This window comes from Homo sapiens, chromosome 18 (genome assembly GCF_000001405.40).
Source record: "Homo sapiens chromosome 18, GRCh38.p14 Primary Assembly".
Taxonomy (NCBI): domain Eukaryota; kingdom Metazoa; phylum Chordata; class Mammalia; order Primates; family Hominidae; genus Homo; species Homo sapiens.
In genome coordinates, this window is record NC_000018.10 from 29,393,038 (window position 1) to 29,417,667 (window position 24,630).

Sequence of the window (24,630 nt, forward strand, 5' to 3'; positions counted from 1 at the left end):
ATAAAACAACTAATTTTCTAAGTTTAGTTTAATTTCTCAAGATAACCTTCCAATACAACTTTTTTCTCATTATATTTACTTTAAAAATTATTTCAAATTGTGAGTGAATTAATTTAAAATTGTTCACTCACCCCCTCCCAATAATTCTGTTTTCCTAGCAATTTCTGTTTTCCTAAGTGATTCACCATTTGCCAATAAGAACATAGGTAATGTTAGAGAAAACTTCAAGGATTTCATTCACTTATTCAACAAATGTTTTTGAGCACCTACTGTGTGCCGGACACTGTTGTAATTGAAGGAATGAAGAAAACCGGCTCACATCAGTTCACAGTCTCGTAGGAAAATATAAACTGGTAGCTATATCAACAGATACTGTGTGTTATGAAGAAAAGATAAGTGAGTTTAAAGAGATAGAGAGGGATGCTAGTCAAAGAAGATCTATGCTGTTGTGACATCTGAGCGTAGACCTGAAGAAGATGGAACAAGAAATGTGGCTATCTGAGGGAAAGGGCAGAGGAACAAGTTTTTTTCTAGGCAGAAGAAAGGATTTTGTAAAACTTCCCATGTGATAGCACCCTGGCATGCAGAGGAAGGGTAGTGAGGCAATACTTTGGCATAAGCTACAGAGAGAAAGGGGTAAGAGATGGAGTCAGATAGCAAGGAAGAATATCTTGTCATACTGAGGATTTTAGCTTTTATGCTCAAACAAGACAGGAAATCATTAGGGTTTCTGTGCAAAGGGGTGAAATAAATTACCTTGCTTTAAAGAATAACACCTAAGTGAAGAATAGAGATATTTGGAGGAGAAGGTAAAGTAAAGACACCAGTGAGTAACTATTTTGATCTGTCCAGAGAAAGATAAGTGTGGCTTTGGATTACAGTAGTAATGGAGGTGATAAGAAACTGTCAACTTTGGCATATATTTTAGGTTTGTGCAAAAATAATTGCAGTTTTGGCCATTCCTTTTAATGGCAAAATCTAATAATTTGACAAGTCTTTATGATGGAGTTATGTGTGGAAAAGAGAAAAGAGAGATTGTTTTAAATTTGCTAGTCGGGGAGAATAAATGACAGGGAAGAAGTGTTCTTGTTTGTAGATTAGGCCATGTTTTTACGGGAGAAGGTGTATCCATTATAAGTAATAACTGAGGAAGAAGGGCACACTGGAAGGGGAAAATTGAACATGTAATATAAAGAAACATTTGGTAGAATATTGTATTATAAATGGTTAAAGAAAGAAACAATATATAAGAGCTAATCTTGAAGAACGGGACACTTCCTGAAACAGGAGAGAAGAAAATGACAACAAAGATACACAGAAACGATAAAGAATAGAGCAGGAAAATGAGAGATGCCTGCATTAGATGACTTCAATTATTTCTAAATTCAGAGTAAGCATTGTGGTGATAAGATGCAATGCTAATTTTTATGTTATATAATTTGATATAGATTTATTTGCTTTCTTCTGTTTTAAAATATCACTTTAAATGATCATGCCACGAATTAATAGAGAAAGAAAGAATAAAGAAAGAAGAAAGAAAGAAAGAAAAAGAAAGAAAGAAAGAAAGAAAGAAAGAAAGAAAGAAAGAAAGAAAGAAGAAAGAAAGAAAGACGAAGGAATGAAGGAAGGAAGGAAAGAAGGAAGGAAGCTGGAAGGAAGGAAGGAAAGAAGACAAGAGCTCATTGACCACAAAGCTTTTTGTTTTGCACATTTCTATACACCTTTGAGCAAAATTTCAGTAGAAACTTTGGAAATAATGATGAACCAAAATGACTATTTGAAAATTATATAAATAATCTGACAAACTATCCAATTGAGGTTAGAAATTCTGATATTTCTATATATAAAATCAATAATTCAAAATCTAGTGTATTCATAGGATTTCATCTACATCCTCTTCCAGTGCTAAGTTCAAGGAGTTTTTCAATCCTTTCCAGCTCTTGCTATCATACATTTCCTGAGGGAAGTTGTAGGTTAAAATTGTCTTTAAGCCATTTTGGTTTAAGAGGAAGCTTATTCCCAAGGCACGTTTTGAAACAAATATTGTCTCAGTTTTTCATGTTTACTAAACATATGGATGGAATAAAGCAGTAGCACCTATGTGATAAAGCCGATAGAGGTTTTCCAACTGGGGGGACCCCATACACAGGGGAGCAATACCGACTAGACCCAACTGTGTTCCAGATGTTTTTTAAAGTGTCAGTTTACTTTTTTCTCCTCTTTATTACAGGACTTGATGTCTGGGAGAGGGCTTACTATAATAGATAATCCTATAAAAAAATCTTCAGTAATGATTGGTGGATACTAAGGCCATGATTTTGTCCATTAATAGGTATTCTCAGGACTACTTTGGGAGACATCAACTAGAAAGAAGTTATACCAAAGAGTATTCATTACAGCCAGAAGCTACTGACGGTCATGTTTTAAGACTAGATGGAACCTAATTAGTCTTCTCAAATTGCCACACAGAGTCACTACCTTCTTGTAAATACTTAATATTTTACATCCTTCAGCTCTACAAACCTGTTGCCAAAGTATATCTTTCTAGGTAAATGCTCAGCACTGTCCTGACCCCATTCACCTCTTTTGGAGGTATGAGCACGCTGGCTTAGAGGGAAGCCACCAGAATTTCGTGTGCTTTGTCAAAGTTGTTGGCTTTGTTCAGTATAAGTTTCTGGAGTATGAAAGCCTGGCTGCCTGACAGAGTGAGAGTGTGAAACACTCTCACTCTGTCATACCGGTGTTCGCTGTCTTCATACTACCAGCAGGGCCATCGCATCTCATCAGTAGTGAGGGACAAGTGTTACAGTAATACTTAGTTTTATAGGAATCACTTTTCTGGTAGCTCAGGAGCATTCTTAGTTATGGTTGACACATGTTCTGCTTTGGCAAGGCTAGACTTCGTTTCACAGAGAAGTAGAAAAGAACGTTTAAATTGTATTTGAAAATTAAAATTCTTAACTTATGGGTCATGTATAATCTTTCTAAAGAGGCAAAGCTTGCAGCAGTATGCAAATGACGATAACAGCCTTCTGTATTATAAAACTATCCATCACTCCAAAAGTCTTTCTCTGATGTCTATGTCAGCAATGTGTTACCCAACAATTCTCAAATAATAATGGTAAAGCCATTAAAAAAATCTAAAAATATTTTACTTCAAAATTACATTTCTGGCCAATGTCCCAAAATCAAAATTCCCAAGATTCTTTTCATCTTTTCTTCTGTCTATGCAGCAGATACGACAAATGCTTTTGTTAAGCCCAGGTTCACTTGGATTCTAAGTAATTTAAATGAAATGCCCTATGAGTAATTTGTGTAAACCAGTCCCCTTTAGAAGAACTTACACTAGTTCCTTGGGGGATGTTTGTCACTTTTATTTGATGTTACAAGAATTTATACCCTGACAACTACACTATCACAATGTCACTTGTAGTATCAGTTTAATTAAGGTACTGTCAGCTTTTCTCTAGTTTGCACAGTTGAATGTCTCTCTTATAATCAAATGGCCCAGCAAATTGGTGTTTCGTGTACTAATCCCAATTTGTTTTCTTTTCCTAAAATGTGACTCAAATTGTTAAAACCATTATTTAGTCATTTGATGTTAAAATAGATGGGTATATATTTTGTGTTTAGGATAGATGGATATATATTTTGTGTTTAAAATAAATGGGTATATATTTTGTGTTTCTTTCTGTAGATATAGATATAGATATAGACATAGATTTTTTTTTTTTTTTTTGAGACGGAGTCTCGCTCTGTCACCAGGCTGGAGTGCAGTGGTGCAATTTCTGCTCACTGCAACCTCTGCCTCCTGGCTTCAAGCAATCCTCCTGCCTCAGCCTCCTGGGTAGCTGGTACTACAGGTGCATGCCACCACACCCAGCTAATTTGTTGAGACGGGGTTTCAACATGTTGGCCAGGATGGTCTCAATCTCTTGACCTCACAATCTGCCTGCCTCGGCCTCCCAAAGTGCCGGGATTATAGGCGTGAGCCACTGCGCCTGGCCTCTTTCTATATATTTGAGTCACTTAATACCAGATGGTCTTCTAGTCCTATCCTATACATATTCTGGAACAGTTAAAAATAAAACTAGTGGGCTTATTTTGCAACTGGATTGACTAACCTATTAAATACGCATAAAAGATATCAGACTTGTGTGGCACATTAAATTTTGCAGAAGGCTTCTGTTTCTTGTGACAAATGAAAGGCTTATAATTCCTGATGTATGAAATATAATAATGTTTTTAAGATGAAAATGATTCTGTCCAGCATGTAACTGTATCATTTTTATGAACTGTAATTATATAAAATCAATGAATGTTTTATATATGTATTGTGTAACTCATTACAGGCAGCAGAAAGTGTGGAAAGAGTACAGTGTAGAAAAAGCACTAAATTTTAAAGTCAAAGTTTGTGTTCAGTAATTATTCAGTTCTGCAATTAATTAGTTATATTACACACAGCACACTATTGATGCTGGCAAAAAAAATCAGCCGTTATTTCTACAAGGCCTTGAAAGAAATTAGCATATTTCACCCCAAAATACGACTCCCTGGTATAATGAGTATTTCAAATTAAAAACTCTCAGAGATTAACAAGCACTGGAAGAGACTTTCCCCTAGGTATATAAAAATAGAACTGCCCCACCATGAAGAACAGTTGTTCCTGTTCCCCTCCCTGTTAGCTCATTATCCATTACAGGAAAGAATGATCAAGAATGTGACCACACCTTAAGAGATGCTTTTTCAAGATAATGACTGTCTCAAAGTTCAGGTACATTCCAAGGAGAACTATTTACAAGTTAATTTCTGTTTCCTGATCCAGTCATTCTCCTTAATAATTATTAATAGAATACCTATTATGTTAGGTATTCTATAGAATACCTCTCAATAAAATACCTCTTCTCTTCCCTCCTATAATATCTGTTTTACTGTTATAGTACGTAGCTAGTCAGACATGAGCAAGGCAAGAGAGGACCCCTCCTCACTCCACCAGGAATGTCAACCAACCATCAGGTTATGGTCAGGCAGTTGTTAACTGTCTTTCTAAAATAATTAGCCACAGCCAGCGCCATGGAAAGGTAGTCTCTCAATAGGTAGAAAAACTTGAAGCTGGTGATCAGCAGCTCCTTAATAAGATCTCAGGAGTTGGACGAGTGGGCTCACATATGTGCACTAAAAGGCAAAATGGCAGAGTATAACTGGTCTATGACCTCGTAGTAACACTGAACTGGTAAGGGAAGATGCCTAAAATGAACACGTGCACAATTTTGGTAAACACACGGCACATGCAACCCTTCTCAAGTGCTGGCAGGCCATAGTGCATGCAGACAGCCCACCCCAAGGGAAGGAATCAGGGGAGATGGGACGCAAGACCCCAGAAGTATGCCAACATATAAAACACTAAGTCAAAGGTCAAACTCTGCATTTGATCTCTCTCACTTGCTTGGCCCTCTTCCAAGTGTACTTTACTTCCTTCCATGCCTGCGCTAAAGCTTTTTAATAAACTTTCACTTCTGCTCTAAAACTTGCCTTGGTCTCTCCTGTCTTATGCCCCTCAGATGATTTTTTTTTCTTACGTGGAAAGAATTGAGGTTGCTACAGACCTGTACAGATTCACCGCTGCTAACATACTTTGGTGCCATGTGACTCAGATATGTTCCACCGCTAAATTACCAGTATCCACGCCTCCATTTTTTCTATAACTTCAAGATGGTATACAAGCTTCTGTACTTCAATGAGAGGTTGGGTCTTTATTCTGAAGGCTTCCATATATGCATGTTAAATATATCTGTGTGGCTTTTCTTCTATTAGTCAATCTGTTACTGGGGGTCCTTGCTCCCAGAGCTCCCAAGATGGTGGCTGCTGCTTCCAAGATGGCGGCGGACCACTTCCAAGATGGTGGCAAGCCTCGTGTTCTCTGACCTGGGGCTCTTGGCCTCATGGATTCCGACAAATGGAATCTTGGGCCATGCAGTGGGTGTTATAGCTCTATTAGAAGCCGTAGGTCACGGAAGAGAACTGTGGAACCCAGTGACTAGTGTTCAGCTCAATTAGGACGAACCGGGGCACTTAGCTGTGCAGGAACAATGGCAAGCCTCTAGCCCAATCAGGAGCCGCAATGAGCGCCTAGTTAGATCAGGAGCACAGCGGACACCCTGCTGGATCCGGAGGGATGGAAGTCAGCAAGGGCTCTGCAAATGACAAACGGCAAACGGCAGTGGTGGATGGCGAGCGAAAGCTCAGCTGAAGCTGTAACAAACACGGACCAGAAGAGAGTGCAGTTGCAAGATTTAATAGAGTGAAAACAGAGCTCCAATACAAAGGGAGGGGACCCAAAGAGGGTAGCTGTTGCCGTCTCCAATGTGCAGGTTTATATTCCAATCATTGTCCCTCCTGCTGTGCTCTCAGGCAATAGATGATTGGCTATTTCTTTACCTCCTGTTTTTGCCTAATTAGCATTTTAGTGAGCTCTCTTCACTACCTGATTGATCGGGTGTGAGCTACGTTGCAAGCCCCGTGTTTAAAGGTGGATACAGTCACCTTCCCAGCTAGGCTTAGGGATTCTTAGTTGGCCTAGGAACTCCAGCTAGTCCTGTCTCTCAAATCTAGTTCAAGTCTGTGAGTTTTCAGCAAATCATTAGAAGCCAAGGCCGTTTACTCTAGACAATTGTAGATAGATTGTATAGATATAGGTATAAGCATGGTATAGATAGATGTAGATATATAGCAGATAAATAACTTTTTCTACTCAAAGTATAACAATTTCTTGGCAGATAAAGGAATAATTAATTTTTTCTAGCTTAAATCCTTTCTTGTGTGCATTTCAGTAAATCACTTTTTTGTTTTCTGATTCACAAAATGTGAATGTTGAATAAGAAAACAATTAGGCACAAGCTACATGGAATTCCCAAGGAAGGAATTCTCCTTAGTATCCATTTACTCAGTACTCAGAGCCATGGGCACACAGGCATCAACCACTCCACAAGTCAGTCAATATTACAAATCATACATAATAGTATACTTAATGAATACATAAATGTTATAGATTGAAATTTTATACCAGACAGTAACATTTAACATCAAGAGAAAAGGAGATAGGAAAAGGGGTTAATGAACCCGTCCAAGAAGAGTGAAGGAGACAAGAAGTGTGTCCAGGCTTGACCCAGACAATCATCAACATCTTGCCAGGAAGAGTCCTTGATTTGAGCAGAGGCTTCAGAGGCAGATTCTGGGTGCAAGATGGGGTCTGTCAAGGCGTCTTTGTCTAATTGGTGAAGTCCTGCTCACTTTATGGCCCTTGAGTCCTCTGGTGAGGACTGATAGAAAAAGGGTAAGCCTTTTCTGGTTGGGCGTTGTCTCTATTGATAAGGCAAACATCTGAACTCTGGTGGCTTGATTACTTCAGAAATATAAGATGAAGTCTTTTTCTAACATGGAGCAATTTATGTCAAGTGTGCTTTAGATAAGAAGAAACCACATTTATAATGAACAAGAAATTATTGTCAAAGAAATCTGTTCCAGCATGAAAAATGGTATCTCATTAAAAGCGCTTCTCTCCCACAGCTGCAGCTGCTCCCATAACCACTGCTATGGCCTTGTTGCTTCTACTAGTGCTGCTGCTGTCACTACCACCAATTAGGGACCACATGCTTGGGGCCCTCAGTGCCCCAGAGGACCCTGAGGTGTCATATGCATGCTGGGCTGCCAGGTGAGTTGCTTTGTGCCCTGGCTGGCTGCTAGACCTGCAGTTCTGAGTCCTCAGTGTGGATGTTGATGACTGACATATCCCTGTTGCTCACATGCACACACCATTGTCTCAGTGGACTTTACTTACAAAACACCAGTTCAAAGATTAAAATATTAGGAATTTCAAGACAGCAACAGTAGAGCATTGAATCAAGTATGGGGTCTTCTGAGAGTGGGGCCCCATTTGACACTGACCAGGAGTTATCTACTTAATTTCTATCTCATTCCTCGTGAATAATAATCCAAATATTATGTTATCTTTATCACTCTCTTATCATTTTTTCCTTAATCAGTATATTACTTAATTTTATTGTATTGGAGGTTTTTGAAAATATTGAGAGTGTATGCACTTTTCCACAGTGTGCTTTTATATATAATTTATTCGTGGTAATGTGTTGCATGTAGCTGTAATACATTCATTTTCATTCTTATTTAAAATTCAATTATGTGAATACACAAGATTTTTTAAAATCGACCAATTAATCAAATGCCATTTAGGTTTTTGTTGCTGTTGTAAAGAACAGTGTGGCTATAAACATTCTTGTCCAAATATTTTCATGCAACAGTGTATAAATTGAGGACTGAAAACTGGATTGTAAAGATGTAAATGTTTAAATTCACAAAGATGTGCCAAATAATTTTTACAAATAAATATATGTTGCATTTTTTATGATTTCAGCTTTCTTTGGTTTCAACTACGTTTCTTTATGTAAGGTAATGAATTAAGTTAATATCATAAGCCTCCTCCTAAGTAATAATTTAGGACCTTTAATCCATATAAATATATTCCCAACTTGCACGCCTCCGATTTTTTACTTAGTTCTTTTTTACACTCTATGAATTAGATATTATCATTGCTCACATTTTATATATACTAACTGCAGAAAAATACATCTCTATTTCCTTGTTCTATCTTATATTTTTGGGAAATAAATTTGTTTTTTAAAAGTATATCTAATAGAAGTTTTATCAGCATAAGTTCTATGGTAATAAGTGTAGTTTTTGAAAGAAAATGTTTATTTTGCCTTTGTTCTTGAAATATGTTTGTGTTATAATTTGACAGTCATTTTCTGCTCACATTTTGAAAAAATACATTACTGAATTCTGGCTTGCTTTCTTGCAATTGGAAGTGGTATCTATCTAGTTGTCACTTATTAATAGGTAATCTTTTCTTTGACTTTTCTAGTCATCGGTTTCTCTGCAATGTGTCTATGTGAGAATTTTATTTTATTTTATTCTTCATAGTTTAAATTATACTTTCTACCTCTGTAGATTCATCATCAGTTTTAGTTAATAATCAGTCATTATTTCTTTAAGCAGTACTATTTCTTATTCACTCGATGTTTTCTCTGTGACTCTGATTAAACATGAGGTAAAATTTCTAACTTATTCATATTTTCTAACTTTATTTTAACATTTTTTATCTTATCTTTTGGGGCTCCATTTTGAGTAATTTCTTTTAATAACAGTCTGAGTTCTTCTTTCTTTAGCTGCTTCTAAATTTTTATTTAGCTTGAGCATTGAATTTTTAATGTAACATTTTTTAATTTTCAAGTTTTATTTTAGTTATTTTTCAGATCTTGTTGATCATTTCAAAAAGTGTGTTCATGATTATTGATTTTTTATGCCATTTAAAGAATTGCCTGAAACATTTTCTAAACATTTATTTTGTTGTCTTAAGTTTGGTGGGATTGTATTAGTCAGGGTTCTCCAGAGAAACAGAAAGAATAGGAGATAGGTAGATAAATAGAGACCTACATAGATATAGATAAAAATATATCTAGATCTGATATAGAAAAGATAGATAGGTAGATCAATAGATTAGATAGATAGATAGATAGCCCTCTATCTCTATTAGTTGATCTGTTTATCTATCGTTTGATCTACTTTTTTTTTTTTTTGGAACTTCCACAATGTGTACGTAGTCTAGTTTGTTAGCATCCCATAGGTTCATTTGGTTCTGTTCATTTTTCTTTAATTTTTTTAAAAAAATCTTCTGTTCCTCAGAATTGATCATTTTCATTTTCCTATCTTTAAGTTTGCTGTTTCTTTCTTCTGACTGCTCAGATTTTTCTAGTGAATTCTTAATTTTATGTATTGATCTTTTTGCTTCCAGGATTTCTATTTGGTTTCTTTTTAAGTTTTCTATTTCTTTATTGATATTTCCATTCTTTTTATATATCATTTTTATGACTTTCATGTCTTTCATTCTTCTTATTATTTATTTATTTTTAGCATTTTATAACAGTTGTTTTAAAGTCTTTGTCTAGTAGATCTGCCATCAAGTCTTTTTTAGGGATAATCTGTTAGTTTTTCTTTTTAATAGATCATACTTTTATGTTTCTTTGTATTCTTTGTGATTTTTTAAAAAAACTGGTCATTGGAATCAGTAAGTGTGGCAAATCTAGAATTAGCTTATCGTCTTCCCCAGGGTTTGGTGAGTTTTCTGTTTGTTTTGTTTGTTTTCTTTTTTTAAATTTTTTGATTGCTATAGGTTGTCTCTGTGCTGTGGATCAGACTGAGATGTAAACTAAGGTCTTCTCAGGTCTCTTCTGAGACTGTAGCTTCTCTTAAAAACACATAGTGACTTTCTAATTTTCCACATATATTTGCATGCTTTCTAATGTCCTACTTTTCAATATGTGGCTCCTCCCAGAAAGGGAAAACTAGAAAAATTAAGGGGAAAAATAAAAAGATCTTGGCCCTTCAAATCTCTTGAATGCCACTTCAGCTTGATGGACTTGACTGACCTTGAATAAGGAGGAGGTGAAGTGCTTGCATCCATGCAACACGATGGCTGTCCCCTCTTTTTCTTTACCTCTTCTATCTAAAGTGGCAATTGGTGATCATAGTCTAAACCCCTGGTATTTGGCAGAGTTGTTTTTGCTAGCTGTATGCAAGCTGTTCCAGGAATATGTGCACAGCTTCCTACCTTAAGGCTCGGAACCAGGGAGTATTTAGCAACAACTGTGCTAAGAGGAGAAATTGACTAAAATTAACCTGAATTTACCATCTAAGCCTTCCACTGAAATTTGCAATCCCTCAACAAATTCCAGAGTTCCAAAATAGTTACATCAGAAAGATTATCCCAGTGTAATTATTGTCTGTGGGGAGACAGGTTTCTGATGCTTCCTACTCTGCCATTTACCCAGAATCCTCTTTCTTTATTGTCTTTAAAAATTATATTATGAATAGTTTATTTTTGAACATAAAATATAGTTAGTTTAAATTTATTTTAATAAAATTTTAATGCATTTACCCTCTGCCTTATTCCACAAATAGGTTTTCTATTATTGATTGAAAATCAATTTGGATTGCCTGTTATGTAGTAAGTTTTTAGTTTTTAAGAAATCAAAGGAAGTGCTTGCTCTTATTAATTGTGACATTTCCTAACACTTTTAAGTTTAGTGTTTAGCCATAGTATATTTCAAACTTCATTTTCTTCTGGCTTCATCGGGCCTTTAATTTTGTATTTACTTGCTGAATATAATTTTTAAAATACATAATGTTTATGACAGGAAAAAGAAAATCTAAGTGTATTTATCCAAAATCATACATTGTCTTTAAATTTTTTTTTTTTTTTTTGAGGTGGAGTCTCACTCTGTCACCCAGGCTGGAGTGCAATGGCGTGGTCTCGGCTCATTGCAATCTCTGCCTCCCAGGTTCAAGTGATTCTTCGGCCTCAGCCTCCTAAGTTGCTGGGATTACAGGCACATGCCACCATGCCCGGCTAATTTTTTTTTTTTTTTTTTGTATTTTTAGTAGAGACGGGGTTTCACCATGTTGGCCAGGCTGGTCTCAAACTTCTGACCTCGTGATCCGCCTGCCTTGGCCTCCCAAAGTGCTAGGATTACAGGCATGAGCTAACAATATATTGTCTTAACACCATATATTGAATAATACTTTTACTCTCCATAAATTTGTAATGTTTTGTCTTATAAATATCTTGCTTATTCTAGTCTCTCCCATCTGTTTATCTCTTTATGTTATTCCATTAGCACAGTTTATTTTTTCTGTTTTAGTACGTTATGGTCCACTCGTTATAGCCTAGTTGCTCAAGATGAAAATCGGGAATCATTTTGACATGTTGAAATTTTATCTTTTTCTCATTCTTATTTTATGTGTCCCTATTATTGATACTACTTTCACAGCCTCACCAAATCACAGTTATAAATCACCATCATTTCATGTCTGGTTCCTAGCAATACAGTACTAACTTTTTTAGCTTCAAATTTTGTTTTTCTATTATATTCTCTATAGGCAGTCAGAAGCATATCTTTAAAACACAAATCAAAACATGTTACTTCCTTGTTTAAAATGTTTTCAGTTTCTTATTGCTTTGTTACTTTGCACTCCAAATGACAAAATGTGTTTTCTATACCCATCTCTTGTCTTATTAAATGGTTTCCCTGTAGTTACTTCTACTTTTTCTTTAGTAGGTTGATTATATTTATTTACAAATAAAAATATTGAAGGAAGACTATATATAAATACATTTATTTCTATACTGTCAATCAGTCAACATCTTATCCCTATTAAGCACTGTGCTAGTAAGTGGCATTAGGAATTTGAATAAAACTCATCCTTGATTTCAAGTAGCTGATAATCAAAAGAACGACATGTAAAATAAATAAGCACAACAAATGTTATAATAGGAATGACAGCAATTCAACGTGAAGCAATGGGAACAGAAAAGGTGATGGATGTATTCTCAGTAAAAGATCATTCAGTAGGAAATTTCTAAAAAATAAATATGTATTTTCCAGGTAAAAGAAGGTCTTTTCTGTCAAAGAAAGTCACAGGAAGAAAGAGGGTTTAGTTTGATTATAGGCAGTGAGAAAAACGAGGTTTTCTTCCATTCAATAATTTTCTTTAAGCATCTATTATGTGTCAGGTATTAGTGTATGCACTGGGTATGAAGCAGTGAATTAAACAGCTGTGATTCCAGTCCACATGAAGCCTGCCTAGTTATAAGACCAGAGAAAAGCAGCATGGCTTTCATGCTATAAACAGTAGTGTTATCTTTGAAATGGCTTATGCTAGGGAGTAAAATGAAACATGTTTGCAATTTATAAAGACCAACCCAGATGTTTTGGGGAAGAGAGGTTGGAAGGTTGGACACTGAGACACCAAATTCTTACTAACTGGACTAACAAAGCATTAGTAGTCCAGGTAACTGTTTCTCTACTTGTATTTGTTTATAATCAATATTTTCCTTTTGTCCTTGAAAATCATTAAAGGTAGTAAATTTTCATAGTCAACAAATCAGTCAGGCAACAAGGACTGCTAATGGCCAGAGAAATTCAAGTACTTTCATTTCAAAGTGGCTTAAGAATATTATATTTTTACATATTGAAAAAGATTTAGCTAATAAAATCTATACATTTTCCAAAAAGAAAGGCCTAAGAAACAACCACCAAATTCACAGTTCTTTCCTATTTCCTGTCTTGCAGTTGGAAGACAGATAGTGCTTTGTTGTTTTAATTACTTAGTTCAATGGTCTTCAGCTACCGTGCATTGAGTTACCTGCTGGACTCCAAATTCTTTTGGATAGAATAAATCTGCTTTGAATATTCTTCAAAAAGGTGGCATTATAAAACTTGCAGTGACTTTTTCCCATTTGTGCAGCTGATTTAAACTTATTTACTTTTTTTTTTTGAGATGGAGTCTCACTCTGTTGCCCAGGCTGGAGTACAGTGGTGTGATCTCGGCTCACTGCAACCTCTGTCTCCCGGGTTCAAGCAATTCTCCTGCCTCAGCCTCCCAAGCACTTGAGACTACAGGCACGCACCACCATGCCTAACTAATTTTTGTATTTTTTTAGTAGAGACAGGGTTTCACTATGTTGGCCAGGCTGGTCGCAAACTCGTGACCTCATGATCCACCCACCTCGGCCTCCCAAAGTGCTGGGATTACAGGCGTGAGCCACCGTGCCTGACCCACTATTGTATGTTTGTTTATAAATGCTGTGAACAGCTAAGGTTTTTTAAAAGTTCATACATATTAATAATAGCGGGGTTGTTTTATCACCTTAGTAACAAGTAAATCTTTATTCAATGGTACTTCACATATTTGGCTCATTTTTGATGTATGGTTTTGGCTTATAAATATAGTGTGTTGAATAAGCATGAAAGGAGTAACAGTCCATATTTGCTTTAAATGACACACATAATAAGCAGATCATGAAAATAGTGGTAAAACTTCAATTCCAGTGTTTATGGGTCTCTTGTCACAAACTACAATGTCATGGTTCTTTTAAGCCAAAGGGGAAAAAAATCCAACCTGAAAAGCAATCATATTTTTCAGATGTTTCTACAGTAGCCATCTCTCTGGGCAACAGAATTTCTGAGGCTGTCCAAAACATAGCAATTTGTCAACAATTTGAAAATAGGTTTGTGATAAGATGTATTTATTTGACAGTATAATGTAATAATAGACATACAGTAGGATGACTGTTGTAAAGGAAATTATCACTGGTGAGTGTCTTTTCCTGAAATTAATTTCAGATGTGTATGGTTGAAAATTCTGATCGATGAAATGATTATGGGTGGGTAGATGGACAAAATACATGGTATTGCTGCTGTCCTGTGTCTTCTTCATACATTTACAGATTCCAAATTAAATGGTGCTTACAAAATAGAGGAGTTTCAGTCATTTCCCTTTCAATGGAAAACAGAATTACAATGTGAAATTTTAAACATTTTAATATGATATGCCACAGAATTGAAGGAGATTGCAAATTTGGAAGTACATGAAGTCAACAACAAAGGTTTTCACTGTTCTACCTCAGATATTTTCACTGCTACTTCACTTTATACCCCTGAGTACCACAATATTAATAGATACATGCAAATGTGTATAGTGATTGTCATACCTACATAGAATGTAAAAATGGCCAATAAGATTAAAATAAACATTATGTGTGTAATATTATTTAATAAATGTATTGTCTTTAATACATGAATGTTTATTTATATACTTTTATTATAATTGTGTAACAAAATTATATAGTCCATTGGCATAATACCAAAGTAAAATGTATTAGAAAACCCTTAGACATATGAATTTCAAAATGCACCCAAGTAAAACCTAACCAGATAATCTAGGGTTAACTTGTATTAGATACTGTTCTAAGTTTGGAGGAAGAGATACAAAATGTTCTTGCTTCTTGGTGATACCAGATAAACTTAACCTTTGAATTAAAAAAATATGTATTATTATTTTTTATTTTAGAGAGGATCTTGCTCTGTCACTCAGGCTAGAGTGCATTGGAGAGATAATAGCTCATTGCAGCCTCACTAATTCCTGAGCTCAGCTGATCCTCCCACCTCAGTCTCCTGAGTAGTTGGGTTACAGGTGTGTGCCAACATGCCTGGCTAATTTTTTTTTTAATTTTTTTTGTAGAGATGGAGTCTTGCTTTGTTGGCCAGGCTGCTCTTGAAGACCTGGCCTTAAGCAATTCTCCTACCTTGACCTCCCAAAGTGTTGGGATACAGGCATAAGCCACTGCATCCAGCTAAATTTTTTCAAGTTTTTATTGAGATAATTTCAGATTCACTTATGGTTGCAAAAAAAATGAAGATCTATTTTACAGTTTATCTAGTTTCCTCCAATTGTAAAATCTTACCAAACTATAATTCAGTATTGCAATCAGGATATTGACACTGATGCAATCTATTGATCTTTAGAATTTTCCAGTTTTAATTGTACTCAAATGTGCTGATATGCATGTGTATTTAGCTCAATACAATTTTATCACATGTATAGGTTTGTGTATTCACTGCTGTAGTCAAGACACAGAGTGGCTTCATCCCACCTCCACTCCACTCCCAACCACCACGGCTTCCCCATTCCTATCTAACAGACCCTGGCAACCACTAATCTGTTCTCCATTTTTAAATGTTTTTATTTCAAAAATGTTATATAAATGGAATCATACAGTATGTAAGCTTTTTAGATTAGCTGGTTTCACTCAGTAAAATTCCCTGGAGATTTATCAAGTTGTTGTGTTCTCATCAGTCTTTTCTTTCTATTGTTAAGTCACATTCCCTGGGATAAGATGTATTATGGTTTGCTCTGCCATTCACCATTTGAAGGACATCTGGACCCTTCCCAGTTTTTGGCAATTACAAATAAAACTGCTAGAACCATTAATGGAGATTTTTCATTAAACATAAGTTTTCATTTCTGTGGGATAAATGGCAAAGAATGCAATTGCTGGGACTTACGGCAATTGAATATAGTAACTGTGTATGGTAATTTATAAAAAGCTGCCTATCTGTTTGCCAGAGTGGCTGTACAATTTCATATTCTACCAGCAATGTTTGAGTTATCCAGTTTTTTTGCATTCTCACCAACATTTGCTGTTGTTGCAGTTTTATCTTTTTTAATCTCAGCCATTCTGATAGGCGTTTTGTGATATATCATTGTGGCTTTAATTTGCATGTCCCTAGAGCATCCTTTTGTATGTTAATTTGCCATTTATATATCCCCTTCACTGAATGGTCTCTTCATGTTTTTTCTTATTTTCTAATTGGATTGATTGTTTTCATTTTTAAAAATAATGAGTTTTGAGAGTGTTTATACAGTATTGATATTAGCCATTTAGCATATATAATTTATAAATATTTTATCTCATTCTTTCACATATCTTTTTTTTCTCTTTGGTTGGTTTTTTGAAGAACAAAACTTTTAAATCTTGAAGATATTCAGTTTACTACTTTTATCTTTTCATGCATCATGCTCTTGTTTTTAAGTCTATGAACTCTTTGCCTAGATCTAGCTCTTAAAATTGTCTCCTGTGATTTTCTTGAAAATTTGCAGTTTTATATTTCACATTTAAATATATAATCCAATTGGAGTTAATATTTGTGTAAGGTGTGAAATTTGGCTTAAGGTTTATTATTTTGCTAACGCATGTCAACTGGAACCAACATTAGTTTTTTCATTCTCCAACTGAATTGTTTTTTGCTTTTGTCAAAAATAAGTTGGAAATATTTATGTGTCTGTTTACTTCTGAGTTCTTTATTCTGCTTCATTGATCTATGTTTTTATTCCTTGTCAAAAGTATATTCAGGCTTCTATAACAAAATACTTTAAACTGAGTTAATTTATAGACAACAAAATTTATTTCCTACATTCCCGAAGGTTGGAAAGTTCAAGATCAAGGTGCTAGTAGATTTGATTTCTGGGGAGGGCCTCTTTCTCATAGATGGCTCCTTCTGTATCTTCGTGTGGAAGAAGGGGTCAATACCTCCCTTGCACCTCTTTTATAAGGTCACTAATTTCAGACACACTAAGACCACAGAAACTTCTGTCAAAACCACACAGTCTTGATTAATATAGCTACGTATTAAGCCTAGTGGTATGATTCTTTCTGCTGAATTCTTATTTGTCAAGATTGTTTTAGCTATTTTAGGACCAGGGTCTTTCATATTAATTGTAGAATTAGTTTGTCTACATCTATAAATGCCTTCTTGGGATTTTGGTAGGAATTTCACTAAGCAGATAGATTAAGTTGGGGAAAATTGACATATGTACAATATTGAGTCTTATAAATTCTGAATACTTTATCTTTCCACTTATTTAGGTCTTTGATTTTTAATAAGCATTTTGTAATTTTCAAAATATAGACATCCTACATGTTTTATTAAGTTTATACCTATGTATCTACATGTTAGTGTATAAAAATGTGACTGATTGTTGTGTGTTGATCTTCTCTTCTATAACGTTTCTGAACTCTTTTATTACTTCTAAAAGTTTGTTTATTGATCCTTTAGGATTTTCATGCAGAAAGTCATATCATCTGTAAATATGAATATTTTTATTTTTTCTTTCCAATCTTTAATAACCTTAATGTCTTTGTCTTTTGGTTTATTATTCATTTATATATAATATACTGTATTTTACATTATGGATACAATGTACATATGTTTAAAAGAAGCATGTCTAGGCAGTATTTGAAAATATGCACTATTTTATGGCTTCCATTAAAGTAGACTTAATAAAGGTTATTTATATATATTTTACTTATAAAATATATTTTATATAAAATTCAGAAAAATCTTTAAAAAAGAACGTACAAAATACTCGTACTTTTACCATGAAGTTTTAATGAATATTAGCCTTTAATTAAATGTTGAAATTAAAGAATTACATTCAAAGGAATGTTTTTAAAACTAGTGAAATGTTGAAACTGGACATTTTTCATGAGTTGCTTAACTATTTTTATCTTCTGCTTCATAAATTGTCTGCTCTTATCCTTCATTCAATTTTATACTAAAGGCTTAAGTTTTGAGAAGAAGTTGTAAAATTGTCTTTCTTCTCTGCACAAAGCATTAAGAGAGAAACTACAGAAAAAAAAGGAGGGGGGGAGATCCAGAAGTTTCAACTATTTTGAAGGTATTTTGGGGTGATCTGAGCTATTCTGAGAAACAATGCTGTCTCCTTTTATCTTGGAAATCTTTTAATACCGCTGATCACCCCTAGGAATATTTTCTTTTAGATGCATGTCACCAGACAGGTTTTTTTTTCCTTTGTTGAACTAGAAATTTCTACCTAAAGTATTTTTCTTTATATCAACATTAGGAACAAATATGCACTGACTGCTTACTATATGCCACTTCATATGTTTTAATATAACATTATCTACCTAAAGCAAACTAGTTGTAACTTTGAAAGTATTGTTAGTTTCCCATGGATTTATAAATAAGAATGAGATTTATATAATAATGTTTTTCCAGAAATAAAATATAATTTTAACATATTTCTAGGGAGTTAAGGTTTTTTAACTCTTACCCAATTTATTCCATCAGAGTTAACTTTTCCATCAAATGTTTTTCCAAAAATAAAAATATAATTTTAACATATTTCTAGGGAGTTAAGGTTTTATAACTGTTACTCAATATATTCTATCAGAATTAATTTTTCCATCATATGTTTTTCCAGAAATAAAAATATAATTTTAACATATTTCAGGGAGTTAAGGTTTTTTAACTCTTACCCAATATATTCCATGAGAGTTAATTTTTCCATCGCATTAATTCTATATTGGGGGTAGGGGAATACTGCTTTGTGAAAAAAAAATCCACAGAATTATCATCTTATAGTACCTATGTTGTATATTACACATGTACACACAAATGGTTTTTACACATTAAGCACCATAAATTTGGCTACAATATTCAGTGGAAGATATCTTCCTTATAGTCTATTTATACAAGTATCTGTAGGTTCCTTTGGTGAAGGTATCACAGAGACTACTTAAAATTACCAAATTGATAATATTACTTTTATTGGCTGTGCATTTATCTTTTGGTAAACATATATAATATGACACTATAAACTTTCTAGTATACTTTACCAGGGAACTGACAAGTCTTTTCCAAATAGAAGTTAAATTTCGTACAGCAAGGATACTAAAGGCAGCTCAAAGATGCATTAATTCAAAAACGGTATGGTTTCATTAGGGAATGAGAATGTTTTTTCAGTCTTTTCTTTTTCTTTCTTTCTTTTTTTTTTTTTCTTTAGACGGAGTCTTGCTCTGTCACCAGTATGAAGTGCAGTGGCGCGATCTCGGCTCACTGAAAGCTCCGCCTCCCGGGTTCAGACGATTTCCCTGCCTCAGCCTCCTGAGTAGCTGGGACTACAGGCGTGCCACCATGCCTGGCTAATTATTTTTTTATGTTTTAGTAGAGACCGGGTTTCACCATGTTGGCCGGGATGGTCTCCATCTCCTGACCTCGTGATCTGCCTGCCTCGGCCTCCCAAAGTGCCCGGATTACAGGCGTGAGCCACAGCGCCCGGCCGCTTTTTCTTTTTTCTTTCTTTCTTTCTTTTTTTTTTTTACATGCAAAGTCTGGCTCTGTCACCCAGGTTGGAGTGCATTAGTGCCATCATAGCTCACGGCAGCCTCAAACTTGTGGGTTCAAGCAATCTTCCCACCTCAGACCCCTAAGTAGCTAGAACTACACGTACAAAATACTATACCTGGTTAATGTTTAAATTTTTTTGTAGAGACAGGGTCTTACTTCGTTGCCAAGACTGGAATCTAACTCCTGACTTCAATCCATTCTCTTGCCTCTGCCTCCAAAAGTGCTGAGATTACAGGCTTGAGCCTCCTCACTTGGCTTTCAATATTTTTATTTTTGAAGTTGATGATGACTTCTCTCCATGGTTGCAGAGTGCTATAGTAACTCCAGGTCTAAGTATATTAAAAAAAAAAGGCTTACAAAAGAAAATTGGTGGGCCAGGTACAGTGGCTCACGCCTGTAATCCCAGCACTTTGGGAAGCCAAGGTGGGCAGACCACGAGGTCAGGAGATGGAGACCATCCTGGCTAACATGGTGAAACCCCGTCTCTACTAAAAATACAAAAAAAAATCAGCAGGTCGGGGTGGCTGACGCCTGTAATCTCAGCATTTTGGGAGATCGAGGCAGGTGATCACGAGGTCAGGAGATCAAGACTATCCTGGCTAACACGGTGAAACCCCATCTCTACTAAACAAAATACAAAAAATTAGCCGGGCATGGTGGCTGCTGGTGGGCTCCTGTAGTCCCAGCTACTCAGGAGGCTAAGGCAGGAGAATATCGTGAACCCGGGAGGCAGAGCTTGCAGTGAGCTGAGCTTGCACCACTGCACTCCAGCCTGGGCGACAGAGCGAAACTCCATCTCAAAAACAAACAAACAAACAAAAAAAAAAACAAAAAAATTAGCCGGGTGTGGTGGTGGGTGCCTGTAGTCCTAGCTACTCGGGAGGCTGAGGCAGCAGAATGGCGTGAACTGGGAGGCGGAGCTTGCAGTGAGCTGGGATTGTGTGACTGCACTCCAGCCTGGGGGACAGAGTGAGACTCCATCTCAAAAAAAAAAAAAAGAGAAGAAAAGAAAAGAAAATTGGTGAAATAGATGAAATCAGTATGAAATATGCAAAAGAAACATTAATAGAAAAAAAAGATGACATAAAACAACTGAGCATTCAAGATCTTTGGAACAATATCAAACGGTCTAACACACGTATAATTAGATTATTAGATTCCCAGATATAAAGATGAACGAACATAGGTAGAATAAATATTTAAAGAGATAAATGTCAGAATTTTCCAAAATTGATTAAAGACGTCAACCTAGATATGCATGAGCCTCGGCCATTCATAATAAGGATGAGCACAGGAAAGAGCACTCCTGGACAGCCATTGTCAAACTGTGAGCATAAAGATGAAGATGCCAAAATGAAATTAGCTAGAAAACAATTTACACTGGAATACAAGATGGGCATGACAAAATGGCAATTAACTTCTCTATATCTTGTAATAATGCTGAAAGAAGGTTTTGCCGGACAAGATATATAAAAATCACAGCAGTTTGGAGAACAGACTGAGGATTTCCATAACTAAAACTTTTAAAATGACTGAGCCATTGTCTCTATAACCATGTGATTTGTTTTATTTAATTTAATTGGGTAGTATTGTAGGTTAAACATTCAATCCTAGTTTCTGTATACCATACCTAAATTGCTTTGTACAAGTGATTTAACCTCTACAAAATTTGCTTTTAGTCTATAGAGAGAATCTGTACAAGTTTAAATGAAAAAAAAATGTATATAAATTACCTAGCATAGTTCCTGGATGTCAATAAATTGAAAACCTATAAAAATTTATTTTTATACCTTGTATTGTCAATTTGTCATCCTTTTATTTATTTTCAATTTTTATATGCTTATAATTTGTATTATTTTATAGATGAAAGAATAGGAAAATATATAAAGTATACATATATAGTGAACATTGCTATATTAACACAGAGAAGTGCATATTGCCAAATTAAAACATTATATGAGATATGAGACATGATATCAAAATCATCTGGTCATTCCTTATTAAGTGTGAAAAAACACAGTATCTATCTTCTGGTTCCTGGCTGGATTCAATATTACAAAATAATTAGAGATGCAAAAGTAATGGGGGCAATTTTGTCACATTTACTGTTGACTGCCTATCTGCAATCACTGTGCTTCAACTAAATAAATGTGAAGAATGTCTTTGAAAAGAAAGCAAAAAAAAAAAAAAGCAAATGAAACCAAAAGTTCATTGTTTGAATATCTCTTCAAATACATCATCTGATAACTTTTATTATTCAAATTCCATGGCTTAAAACAAAATTAATAAATTCATCTAATAAACATCTATGAACTGGCATCTATTCTTAAACCTCTGAATGTCTTAGCTTAATTATGGCTCCTATTAAAATGGCTTTATTTTAAATGAGAAAATCAAACCCACTAAGTATATGTAAAATTTGCAGTTCAATTCTGAAAAAGTTCTTCACTGAAAATAATTAGGTAGAAATTACCCTCCAAGTGTAAAGCTTAAGTTAGTACCATGTAGAAGCTTTTGCTTTATGATCCTTTTGCTATATCCTCATCACAAACATATAAAGAACCTGTCTTAAAATACATGAAAACATGCAAAAATTAATGGCTAAAATTTATTGAGTGTTTCTGCAACAGCAAAAGGCAAATTATGATGATAATAATAAAAAATCAACTTTTCAGTCTTTCAATCATTGTATACTACATTTGCATCAAGTGTGCAATCTATTATTTCATTTATGCAAAGATCTTCATTAGGTATTAATATTTTTGCTTTTCTGTGACTCTTTTGGGCCTCTATTAGTAAGTAGTCACATTTTCCTTATTCTTTCTTTCTTTTTTTTCTGCTTGTACAGGGTTTTGTAGGTTCTCTCTTCCTCTTCTGCAGTATGTATTAATAAAAAAATAGTTGCAGTAAGTAAAAGTGAGAGATATCTCAGGTCTTCCACATATCTTATGTAAAAATGTTCCCTGTTCCTTTACTGACTTCACCACCTCTCAGGCTCTTTGCAGTCTCTCTCTCCCTCTTGTAGGAGCCATTAATTCAACCATAGCTGTTTGTGGAGAATACCACTGTGTAACAAAATGCATTTCTTATTTTTTACTTTTTCCACTTTTATCCCAGCATATTGGGAAAAGCAGATTACCCTCTTATTTTCTGTCCTCACCATTTTCTCATGCAGGGCAGCAAGACCTTGATATAAAAACCCTAGATCAATTAAGCACTAGATGTCATCCTTTATTGCTATCTCTTCTCCCTTTTCACTCTATCACAAATTGAATTGAACCCAGAACATCCAAAAACTAAGACTCTTTTTTTCTTTCCTATTAGCTTATCTTACCATTTACAGCAACAGTAAAAGTCTACTATGCTTCACATTAGACATCTATAGCATTAGAATATTCTATTGGTTTAGGAAATATTCCTATGGGCACAGTAACACCTGAGTCCTAAATTACATTGTGTGCAATGGTACATTATATTATAATAGTTTGTGATGTAGTTCAGCTGTGTCCCCACCCAAATCTCATCTTGAATTCCCACGTGTTGTGGGAGGGACTGGGTGAGAGGTAATTGAATCATGGAGGCAAGTCTTTCTAGTGCTGCTCTCATGATAGTGAATAAATCTCATGAGATATGATGGTTTTATAAAGAGGAGGTCCTTTGCACAAGTTCTCTCTCTTTGCCTGCTACCATCCATGAAGACGTGACTTGTGCCATGAATGTGAGTCTTCCCCAGACACGTGGCACTGTAAGACTATTAAACCTCTTTCTTTTGTAAATTGTCCAGCCTCAGGTATATCTTTATCAGAAATATGAAAACAGACTAATACAGTTCGACTTTGAGATAATTTGGAAAGTGAGTCTCATGAAAGATTAGAATTGGATTTGCTTAATTTTTGAGATGCTAGGTTGGCCATAAAACTGGGCACCCATTTAATTTGTTAGATCAAGCTACAACTAACAAACAAGGAATCCAGACCATTAAGATAATGTGATTCAGATCCTCTTTGGAGATAAGATATATGGATATTAACTTATTTAGGGCTAAAACTTTTCAATGATTGAGATTAGTTTTTTGTTTGTTTGTTTGTTTTTAGAATTCAGAGTTTGTGTATTCTAATGGGAAACCATTCACAGTGTTCACATATATAATATTTTTTTTCCATTGCAAGTGGTGCAATTACAGCTCACACCAACCTTGACCTCTCAAGCTCAAGCTATCCTCCCAGCTCAGGCTTGGGTAGCTGGGACTACAGGCCCCCACCACCAAGCCTGGATAAATTTAAACCAGTTTTTTTTTTTTTTTTTTTTTTTGGAGAGCTAGGTTCTTGCTATGTTGCCCAGGCTGGTCTCAAACTCCTGGGCTCAAGCCATCTTCATGCCTCAGCCTCCCAAACTGCTGGGATTATAGATATGAGCCACCACAACTGACCTAAATTTTTTAATCATACGTGTGCAATAAAATAGGGTACAATATAGGAAAAAAAAATATCCTCTGTTAGGAAATAATATATAAAATTAGTGCATAATTTAAGAAATATTTGGCCTTGAGGTAAATTAATGTGCTGTTTAGAGGGCTCCGGGTGATAGTTAAAGTGTCATGTTTCCTGGTTCCAAGGGTCTACAAAGAAACAATAGTATGTGCAGTATATAAAGCCACATGTCATTACAACAAGCCTTCCTTGGTAGACAATTGATACTTCTCCTAGAATTGTATGGACTGTCCATGACTGACTATGGGCTCAACTGTCAAAGCCAGCAGTTGAAGAAAAACAAATTAAAGCCAGGAGAGCCAGTGTTGAAGAGAGGAGAGGCTTCTGTTCTTTTCTCCAGACATCAACAGTGCTTTTGTTCCTTTACTGGCTTTGTATGATCATCCATCCCTCTCTTTTCCCCAAAAGGAAAAGAAAATACTAATAATGTCATATTGCAAACATTGAGCCCTATTTACCCATGGTAATGGTTGGGGTCGCTGTATGTAAAATGGTAATGCTCTTGTGCATGGTCTTCT

At 35.1% G+C, this 24,630-nt stretch overlaps 1 annotated feature.

Moving 5' to 3' along the window:
* Positions 5,327–6,526: an enhancer, noted in NCBI's record as "MED14-independent group 3 enhancer chr18:26978329-26979528 (GRCh37/hg19 assembly coordinates)". NCBI's record gives its function as "activates an origin of replication core promoter dependent on BRD2, BRD4, P300/CBP and CDK7 cofactors, and independent of MED14, by STARR-seq in HCT116 cells {active_cell/tissue: HCT116}" and the evidence as "EXISTENCE:reporter gene assay evidence [ECO:0000049][PMID:35650434]".